Raw genomic sequence first — 11564 nt, 5'->3', positions numbered from 1 at the left:
CAATATATAACTGAAATATTTTTTAAACATAAAGTTAGTAAAAGACAGTTGAAAGGATATTGCAACTATACACATACAGGACTGGCCGGGTGCAGTGGCTCAGGCCTGTAATCCCAGCACTTTGGGAGTCTGAGGCGAGCAGATCACCTAGGTCGGGAGTTTGAGACCAGCCTGGCCAATATGGTGAAACCCCGTCTCTACTAAAAATTCAAAAAATTAGCCAGACATGGTGGTGTGCGTCTGTAATCCCAGCTACTTGGGAGGCTGAGGCAGGAGAATCGCTTGAACCTGGGAGGTGGAGGATGCAGTGAGCTGAGCTCGAACCACTGTACTCCCGCCTGGGCACAACAGAGCGAGACTCCATCTCAAAACAAAACAAAGAAACAAAAAACAGGACCACCAAAGGCTGAAATACTCATGTATGACATTTTGGGTCACCCCACTGATTAAGCACTCCAACTGCTGAAGTGCTGGCAGGAGGCAAAGTAGCCATGGAGTGAGCCATAGAGTCATTAAGCCATCAGTATCATGCACAGGCATGGGACCTGTGCAAAGAAGATGACTAAAGCCATTACTCAGAATTTCCTTCCTTTTTGTGGCATGTAAATATTTTAACTAACTTCCCTATTTGTGTGGCTTTCCACAAAGATTGCATATGCATTGGTATCATCTAACTTTGTAATTATTTTGTGGTTTGAAATAGAATTGCCACAAAACTGAAAAAAGAAATAGATGTTAGTCAGAGGTCTTAGGGTTGAAACTTGAAGAAAGTGGAGAGAGTATAGTGGCTTCCTTTTGGAAGTGGAATATGTTCAGTAGAATAAGGGTAAGCTTGTTTATCTTTGGTAGGAGCTTTTTATTGTGTGTTATGTTTTGTTTATGTCTAGACAATGGTGGGGTATGGTGTGGTGGGTATGCATGTTTTATTCTAGCAACTCATGATCATAAGAGCCTTACTTTTTGAAGGAATTCCTGCATTGTGTGTCCTGGTGGGACACTGTGACTTGGGTGTCTCCCAAAGCAGGAGAGCAGGTACTCTTGAAAGTCATGGTGTGGAGGAGTGGGAAGGTGATGAAGGTTTGGCTGGTAAGACATGCACAGCCAAGCTTTTGAATCTTGGGGAGCGGTTGACAGATTCACAGCTTAAAGTTGTCACCAGCAGTAGCCTAAAGACACCAGTGTTATCAGCTTTAGTGTCCAGTGGCAATAGTACCAGTGCCCATGACTTAACCTCAGTTCATCCTGTGGTTTGAACTTGCCTGTGTTTTTGGATCCCAGTCTTTGTTGGTTTAGCTCTGATTATCTGGTCTTCTGTGAATTTTGAGAGTTAACCCAAGACCCTCCAAATACATTCCTTTTTGCTTGAGTTAACCAAATTCTTTTGCTGTGGTTTGCAGTATTACATTCTGATTAATAAACTCTATTTCTATGTTCATTCTCTCATTTTTCCCTCCTAATTTTCCAAGGCTAATTCTGCCTTTTCTGAAATGTTCCCACTTTGGGTATCGTTTTTCCCGTAAATATCTGCAGTACAGAACACCACTAACCAACACCCACTACCAGCACTTTTTTCTGCCCTCTGCTACAGGGCATTCTCCTGGCCCACCAGCTCTTTATTCTCTTACGCCTCCATCTTTTTTTTTTTTTTTTTTTTTTTTTTGGAGACGGAGTCTCGCTCTGTCTCCCAGGCTGGAGCGCAGTGGCGTGATCTCGGCTCACTGCAAGCTCTGCCCCCTGGGTTCATGCCATTCTCCTGCCACCACGCCTGGCTAATTTTTTGTATTTTTAGTAGAGACGGGGTTTCACCGTGTTAGTCAGGATGGTCTCCATCTCTGGGCCTCATCATCCACCCGCCTCGACCTCCCAAAGTGCTGGGATTACAGGCGTGAGCCACCGCGCCCGGCCACGCCTCCATCTTATTCCTCTTTCCTGTTTACATCCCTCTCTGGGTTTCTTCTTCCTTATTCACAAACTTCCTTTTTCACTAAACTGTAACACCTAATGCGCCAAATACAATGACTTTGACTAACTGTAGCTATACCCCAAGAACGACTGCTCTTCTCTCTCTTAAAGCACTCTATCTAACATAATTTATCATCTTAACAATTTTAAATTGTGCAATTTGGTAGTGTTAACTGTATTCGCATAGCTGTGCAATAGTTGTCCAGAAATTTTAATTGTGCACTGAAACTTTAGACTCATTGAACAAAACCTCCCTGCTTTCTGCCCCCTAGCAACCACAATTTTACTTTCTATGAGTTTGGCTTTTCATATACCTCATATAAGTAGAATCACACATTATTTGTCTTTTTGTGACTGGTTTATTTCACTTAGCGTAATGTCCTCAAGGGTCAACCATGTTGTAACATGTGACAAGTTTCTCTTCCTTTTTAAGGCTGAATTATATTCCATTGTATGTAAAGAACGCATTTTCTTTATTTATCCATCCATGAACATTTTGGTTGCTTCCAAATGTTGACTGTTGTGAATGGTGCTGCTATGAACGTAGGTGTGCAAAGATCTCTTGAAGTTCCTGCTCTTAATTTTTCAGACATATATTCAGAAATGGCATTACTGGATCATATGGTAATTCTATTCTTATGTTTTTGAGGACACTTCATACTGTTTTCTGCAGTAGGTGCATCATTTTACACTCCCACTAAGGAGTGTCCAAGGTCTCCAATTTCTTTGCATCCTTGCCAGTACTTGTTTTCTGCTTTTGTTTTTGTTTTTTAAATCATAGTCATCCTAATGGGTGTGAGATGGTATCTCACTGTGGTTTTGATTTGCATTTCTCTGTTGTTTAGTGATATTAAACATCTTTTCATGTGTTTATTGGCCAACTGGAGAAGTGTCTAGCTGAGTTCTTTGCCCATTTTTGAACTGGGTTATTTGTTTTTAATTGTTGAGTTCTAAGAAGTCTACCTATATTCTGGATACGAACTTATGAGATAGATGATTTGCAGATATTTTCTCCCATTCCGTAGGTTGCCTTTTCACTGTTGACTTTTTCGATGCCAAATAGTTTGTAGCTTTTATATAGTCTCATCTGTAGCTTTTATATAGTCTCATTTGTCTGTTTTGTTTTTGTTTCCTGTACTTTTGGTGTCGTATTCAAGAAATGAATGCCAATTCCAATGTCATGCAGCCTTTCCCCTATGTTTTCTTTGCGGAGTTTTAAAGTTTTAAATCTTACATTTAGGCCTTTGATTCACTTTGAGTTAGCTTTAGTATATTGTTTAAGGTAAGAATCCAATTTCATTCTTTTGAATGTGGATATCTAGTTTTCCCAATACCATTTATTCAGGAAGCTCTCCTTTCCCTATTGTGTGACTGTGACTCCCTTGTTGAAAATAATTTTACCATGTAAGCAAGAGTTTATTTCTGGGCTGCCTATTCTGTTTTATTGGTCTATATGTTTCTCTTTATGCTATTACCATGCTGTTTTGATTACTGTAGATTTGTATTATGTTTTGAATTCAGGAAGTATGAGAACTCCAACTTTGGTCTTCTTTTTAAAGATTGTTTTGACTATTCAGAGTCTTCTGAGATTCCCTATCAATTTCAGGATGGGTTTTGTCTATTTCTACAAAAATTGCCATTGAGATTTTGATAGGGATTGCAATGAATCTATAGATTTTTTGGGTACTATGAATATCGTTATAGAATTAAGTTTTTCCAATCATGAGCATAGGATGTCTTTCCATTTATTTTTATCTTCTTTGATTTTTTCAATAACGTTTTATAATTTTCAGTGTACAAGATTTTTGCCTCCTTATGTTTATCTGTTAATTCCAATATTTCTAGCATAAAGAAAAGATAAATATTTATGGTGATGGATATCCTAATTACCCTAGGATTATATGAATGTATCAAATTATCACAGGTGCCCCCAAAATATGTACATCTGTTATGTATCACTAAAAAATAAAATGAAATAAATTAAAAAAATGAAAAACAAAACCTTATTCCTAAGTATTTTATTCTTCTTTTTTTACATATTTATAATACTTTCAGCTCTTAAAAAATGTTCCCCGGTTTATTAAGTTATAACTGACAAAGAAAAATTTGTGTACTTGTGGTGTGCACTGTGATGTTATGGTATATTTGTACATTATTAAATGATTAAATCATACTAATTAACTATAATCTCACAGGCATATATATTTTTGTGGTAAGAACAGGTAAGATTTAAACTCTTAGCAATTCAAGTATTTATTAGGTTGATGCAAAAGTAATTGTGGTTTTTGCAAATACTTTTTTTTTTTTTTTGATGGAGTCTCGCTCTGTTGCCGGGCTGGAGTGCAGTGGTGCATTGGCAAAAAACACAATGACTTTTGCACCAACTTAATAATACATTATTATTAACTATAGTGGCCATGCTTTACAATAGAACACTCCATCCTTCAGCAGCAGGATACTATTCTTTTCAAGTACACATGGAACATTCTCCAGGATAGACCATATGTTAGGACACAAAATAAGTTTTAACAAATTCAAGAAGGTTGAAATCATACCAGGTTATCTTTTCCAATCACAGTGATATAAAACTATAAACCAATCACAGGAAGAAAATGGGAAAACACACAAATAGGTAGAAATTAAACAACATACTTCTGAGCAACCAAAGGGTCAAAGAAGAAATCAAAAGGAAAATTAAAAAATATCTTGAGACAATTGAAAATGGAAACACAACTTAGGGGATGCAGCAAAAGTAGACCTAAGAGGGAAGTTCATAGTGGTAAGCACCTTCATTATTCTACATTATCCTTTTTGATGGTATTGTAAAAGGGATTGTTGATTTTATTTCCTTCTGGGGTTTTCTGTTGTTAGTGTAGAGAAACACACTGAGTTTTGAGTGTTGGTTTTGTATCCTGCGACATTACTGGATTCATTTATTCTAAAATTGTTTTTGTGGACCAAACTTTTACCTTCTTCAATGAACCTTCTGCCCTTTATCCTCAGGTTCTGATTTATTCTTTGCTTTCTTGTTTACTATTTTTGAATCTAACAATGACTTGACAATTGAGTTAAAATCAGGAAACTGGAGTTGGTGATTGTTTGAAGGAAAGTTTATAGAGATTCATCTTCCTAGAAACATGTCCCTAAGAGCCTTTCCTTCCCTGAGTATTTTGTAATTGGCCCTCCTGATGGGGAGGATGAAAGACAGAAACATAAGGAAAGGAATAGAATAAGGGTTGTGAACAATTCTAGGGGAAAAGGACTATTAAAAAAATACATATAGGGCTGGGTGCAGTGGCTCATGCCTGTAATCCCAGAACTTTGAGAGGCCAACGTGGGTGGATCTGTTGAGGTCAGGACTTTGAGGCTAGTCTGGCCAACATGGTGAAATCTTGTCTCTACTACAAATACAAAAATTAGCCAGGCGTGGTGGTGCACACTTGTAGTCCCAGCTACTCAGGAGGCTGAGGCAGGAGAATTGCTTGAACTTGGGAGGCGGAGGTGGCAGTGAGCCCAGATCGCACCACTCCAGCCTGGGTGACAGAGCAAGACTCTGTCTAAAAATCAAAAAGAAAACAATTGGGTAATTAGGCTAGGGGATGCTTTTGAAAGCATAGTCTCAGTTGTGACCTAACGGACTCAATGACTTTGTTCACTAACACATTCTGCCTTTCATAGCCTCATCCCAGTGCTTCCTTCTGAGTTACTAAAAGTGATTATTTGTAACTCTATTTTAAAATAAGATTTCATTGATTTAAGCATTGAACTAATTATCCTTAAATAATATATCTGTTGGACAGGCAGGTAGAGGAGAGTTCTCATTATTCCTGGTCATCACCATGCTTCCATCCTATTCTATGCCTTTATTACAACACTGCCCTATCTAGGATGAAATTTATCTTCCTGACCATGAAAATTTCTCCTGAGACTGATGTGATTGCTGAAGACATGCTTGCTGACCACGACCTATGGAGAGTTTTTTAAAAATAGTTTAATGTATTTTAATAGCAAACTTACAGAAACAACACAGAAGAAAGACAACATTAAAAAACACGTACTGCATGTAGGACAATTCAGTGAGAAAAGTCTAGTGAATGGATGGTATCTGTCATTTGATAAAAATGCTACAAACACCATTTAGTTGCTGTCAATAAAACATTTACTTATTTTTTTTTAAAAAATCCAAATGCTAGCATTGTTCAGAAAAAAAATAACAGGTTTCTTAATTGTTATAAAGTTTAACCACTGAGACTTCTTCACTGAAAGGTTTGACTTGCATTAATGCTTCATGTAGGGACATAAATGCAGGGCATTTATACTAACAGTTCACACACAAACGAACACAGAAAAAAAGTGTCAATATCTGGTTTCTGTCCTCTGTTTTTTCACTGGCAATCATATACTTAGTTACCTTTTGACCCCATGGAAAAAAAAATATCTAACATTCAGAACCACCAATAACAAGAAGAAGAGAATTTTTCTCAGAATGAAATGTTCCCATCATAGAGGATTCTTAAGGACCTTCTCTACGTATGAGATGTGCTAGCTGGACGACTTTTGGCATAATTGTTACACATTTGGCATGGATAGTGCACAAGTTGGTGTCTTCAAAAAGGCCAACCAGATAGCCCTCACTCACTTGCCTCCTGCAAAGCACCAATAGCTGCGCTCTAAAAGCGCAGATGTTTTCAAGTCCTGAGCAATTACGTGCATCAGATGCTGGAAGGAAAGTTTGCAAATCAGAAGTTTGGAGGACTTCTGATAAGGTCTGATATCATGGAGTGTCACAGTAACCAGGCCTGTAATTATGAGTTTTCTTCACCCTTCCAGGAGAGGGCGCACTACTGCAAGCAGCTTCCACAGCCGGTTGCTTCCTGGGGGCTTTGCCACTGGTTGATCTGTGGGCAGTCGGCTTTGTACCAGCCACGGTCTTAAAAACCTCCTTACTTATCCCCTTCTCCTTCAGCTGGGGCTCAGCGAGCTACAGGTGGTGCTGGCATTAGAGATTTTATGATTGAGGTGTACTGTTTTGAAAATAGAATCTCAGGTTTGCTTTGTCAGATAGGCCATATCTATTTAATCTGGTTGTAGAATCCATACCCATTCTCCAACATAGTTTAGAACTAGTTATTAACAGAGGTACGCAGGTAAAAAGATCTTTCTGTCAGTACCCTTAAGAGGAAACGTGTACACACACACACGCACACGCGCGCGCGCACACACACACACACACACACACACACACACGATACAGTTTAGTTCATGGAGGCCTGCGCTGGCCACCTCCTGTCTTATTGCCTTTGGTAATGCAATCATAACATCTAAACTTAGCTACTGCACTGATTTATGTATTGTAGATATGGTTCTTCTTGATGGCGAGCAAGCAGGGGCCCTGGCTTGATTAAGAGGAAAGCAGAGGCCTTACCTATCTCTTTCACCGCTCTGCCTCCCAAAGCCTAGCACAGGGCCTGGTAAAACTTTAGTAATATTCATAGACTCAGAATGACAACGTGAATAATGACTCTAAGAATTCAGACCATAGGTTTAGAACCAAGGCTGTGAGTTTAAGAGTTTTACCGTCTTCGAATAAAACTTCCTCTCCAATCCTGTGAGTGTTGAAATCATACCCCTTTTTAAAGCCTTGGGGGAAAAAAAAAGAGAGAAAGCCCTTATGTGTATACCACTCCAAATGAGCAGGAAACAGCATAATTATTTAATGTGTGTATTAGCCTGTTCTCACACTGCTAATAAAGACATACCTGAGACTGGGTAATTTATAAAGGAAGGAGGTTTAATGGAGTCAGTGCCACATGGCTGGGGAGGCCTCACAATCATGAGAGAAGGTAGAGGAGGAGCAAAGTCAGATCTTACATGGTGGCAAGCAAAAAAAGAGAGCATGTGCATGGGAACTCCCCTGTATAAAACCATCAGATCTCGTGAGACTTATTCACTATCACGAGAACAGCACAGGAAAGACCCACCCCCCCCCATTATTCAATCACCTCCCACAACAAGTGGGAATTATGGGAGCTAAAATTCAAGATGAGATTTGGGTGGGGACACAGCCAAACCATATCAGTGTGCTCAAAGTAATAACATTTCTTCAGGAACTAGCCAGGAACTTTGAAAAGCAACAGATTTTCTTCACTCTACAGCTGCATGACTATGTGCAAAGTACAAAATGGAAAATCATGAAACCCCAAAGAAGAACTTGACGTCAGGGCAGATCTGAATTCAAATCCCTGCTCTTCCCCCTGGATTCATCATGTCTTTTTCCAGCCTTCCTTTTCTCATCTGTAGAATGGATGTGCTAATGTACTCACTTTTTAGAGTTGTGAGATAATTAAGCACTTAACATAATACATGTTAAGTGTATTAATATGTGTGTGGCACATAGTGAAAGTCCAATGTATGTTCGTTTTTTGTCAATTTTTAGTTCATAATTTGGAAATTAGCCATGACAATGATATTTCTGGTTGTTTTAAGGCATGAAATAAACATGTAAAATATCTTTTTGGGCTATTGCATTGATATTGGTCACAAGATGGATTGATGTAGATCACAAGACCAAACTGGGTTAAAAAAAAAATCTAATATGAGCCTGCTTTTTGTTTGTAAGTATATGGAAGAAATAGTGCCCAGAATAAAATCGGAACAAGGTGGAGGAAGGATTCATTCACACAAAACATTGCAACATTATTTAAAGTGAATCTCGGAGGCAGTGGGTTTTTTTTTTTATTTTAGTATTTTTGTGTGGGTGTGAGACGGGGTATCGCTCTGTTGCCCAGGCTGGAGTGCAGTGGCACTATCTTGGCTCACTGCAACCTCCACCTCCTGGGTTCAAGCAATTCTCCTGCCTCAGCCTCCCGAGTAGTTGGGATAACAGGCACGTCCCACCACACCAGCTAATTTTTGTATTTTTAGTAGAGACGGGGTTTCACTATGTTGGCCAGGCTGGTCTCGAACTCCTGACCTCAGGGGATGCGCCCACCTCAACCTCCCAAAGTCCTACTGAAAGGCGAAGACAGCTGGACCTCCTGGATCCAGTGGGGACTTGGGGAACTTTTCTGTCTTACAAGAGGTTTATAAATTCACCAATCAGTGCTCTGCAAAAATGCACCAACCAGCACTCTGTAGCTAGCTAGAGGTTTGTAAAATGGACCAATTGGCACTTTGTAAAATGGACCAATCAGCGCTCTGTAAAATGGACCAATCAGCAGGACATGGGGGGAGGACAAATAAGGGAATAAAAGCTGGCCACCCCAACCAGCAGCGGCAACGTGGTAGGGTCCTCTTCCTTGCTGGGGAAGCTTTATTCTTTCACTCTTCATAATAAATCTTACTGCTGCTCACTCTTTGGGTCCCTGCCACGTTGAAGAGCTGTAACACTCACCAGCAAGGTTCGCGGTTTCATTCTTGAAGTCAGTAAGACCACGAACCTACTGGAAGGAACCAAATCCGGACACACTGGGATTACAGGCATGGAGGAACCAACTCCGGACACAACGGGATTACAGGCGTGAGCCACGCCAGGACGAGGCAGTGGTTCTTACACTGTAGTATGCGTTGACTAAATAAATGGTCTCTTAAAATACAGATTGCTACCCTGCCCCCCCCCCCGCCCCCCAGCCACCACTCCCAAACTCCCCAGCCATTTCTGCATTTATGGTTTTGGGTGAGTCCTAAAAATTTGCCTTTACCATAAAAGGTTGATATGGCTGGCCTTGGGACCACATTTTGTAAATCACTGCAATGGCAGTAATTCTAAGCCTTGGTTGCGTCTTGAAAGCTGGAGAACTTTCAAAGATGCTCATGCCTGGGCTACATCCACAGAAGTTCTGGTTTCATTGGTCTGGGGTGGGGTCTGTTTATGAGGAGTTTCAAGAGCTTTCCGGGTGACCTAAATGTGTACAAGTTAAAGATAACTTACCTAGGATATATCAGAAGTAGTGTATTTTAGAAAAGAGCCATTCGATTATGAATTTAATAAATATGAATTGAGTACCTACCATCATTCCAGCCCTGTGCTATGTAATGGGAAAACAGATATAAATAAGAACGAAAGAGGAAGATTGCCACATTGATAGCTGCTAGAGTGACAGCCTGCCAATGAGCTTGTGCACAGAAGGCTGCTAAGATGGTTGGGATGTATGTGGAAGGCTGTGAAGTTCAAGTGAGAGAAGGTTTCACTAAGGAACTTGAACTGAGTTTTGAGGGATGAGTGAGCATGATGTTTTATGAGCAGAGAATAGGGGAAGGACATTTCAGAGAGAAGGCAGCCATAAGTGAAGGCCCGGAGTTGGGAATGGACACAGTATGTGTTCACGGGCTGCAGCCTGGTGTAGTGGTGCAGAACAGGGTAGGAGAAACAGGCTAAGATAGATTTCCATGCTTAGACTTATCCTATGGGATTTGACGGGGTATTTGAGGGTTTTAGGAGGAAAGTGATAGAAATAGATTTCATCAAGTACATCAAGAGGTAGGAAGATCTACCTGAGAAACATTCTCCAGATAAATGGGCACATAGAATAATCAGGACACCAGCTTCCCCCCGCCTTTAGCTAATCCGTCAACGTCTGATTAGAAGTGCAAGGAAAAGGGGGACGCATTTCTTTTCACTGCAAGTAGAGCTGTTTCAGACTTTGGGAATCTTGGGAGAAAAAGAGTAAATGCGGAGAGAGAAGACATCAGAGAGGAGAAGAAGGAGAAGGAAAGCGCAACAGAAATGACACTGTGATTCAAATCAGTTCAGAAACAGCAAATACAAATAAAAGAAGTGAAAAAAATTTCTCCAACTGCCCCTGATCCTCTGAAACCCTTTCCCAGTGAGGCCAAAGGCCACATACAGTAGCCTGCACTGCCCCCTGCAGGTAGAATACAGAAACGGCAATGATTGAATCTGGATTTTATTCTCAGCTTCGGAGAAAGCAGAGGTAACAAGAATGTGCCTTGTGTATCATCAATCTGCCCTCCAGCTAGGCCTGCGTATTACTTCTTTACTGTTTACGTTTAAGCCTAGTTTTTTTAATTACCATTTTTTTGTTTACATGTAAGCCTAGTTTTCTACTTACCATTTTTGTTGTTTACATTTAAGCCTAGTTTTTAATTACCATTTTTGTTGTTTACATTTAAGCCTAGTTTTTTAATTACCATTTTTTCACGGCTCTTTAAAAACACTTTTTTCCTCACATTTTACATCTGAAATTAGAATGTGTCTTGGAATCAGTTTAATTGACAAGTTTTTTTGTCTTTTCTTTATGATACATGACAGAGCATCTCACAACTGATGGCATCTTAGATTTGGCAATATTTATTTTGCATATGTCAAAGGTATGGCCTGGTGGAAGAGGAATGATGTTTTTGAGTAAGATACATCTGCTGTCACCTTGACTCTGATATCCCTTCTTACCTAAATTTTGGCTCTCCATTACTTACCAGCAATTTGATTTTCAGCAAGTTAATTATCTCTCTGAGTCTTGATTTCTTCGTCTTTAATGCTACTTACAAGATTTTGTACGAGTTAAATGAAATTCCATCTAAAGTCCTTGAACAGGCCTCACCTAGCCCATTAAAGTACCCAATAAATGACAGTTATTTCCAAA

General features: G+C 39.7%; 1 pseudogene; it reads right to left on the bottom strand.

The window, feature by feature from the left end:
* On the bottom strand, positions 6288 to 6968 carry H3P40 (H3 histone pseudogene 40; annotated as a pseudogene).

This window comes from Homo sapiens, chromosome 15, assembly GCF_000001405.40.
Source record: "Homo sapiens chromosome 15, GRCh38.p14 Primary Assembly".
Taxonomy (NCBI): domain Eukaryota; kingdom Metazoa; phylum Chordata; class Mammalia; order Primates; family Hominidae; genus Homo; species Homo sapiens.
Note: the sequence above shows the minus strand (reverse complement) of the source record. Positions and strands in the feature narration are given on the sequence as shown.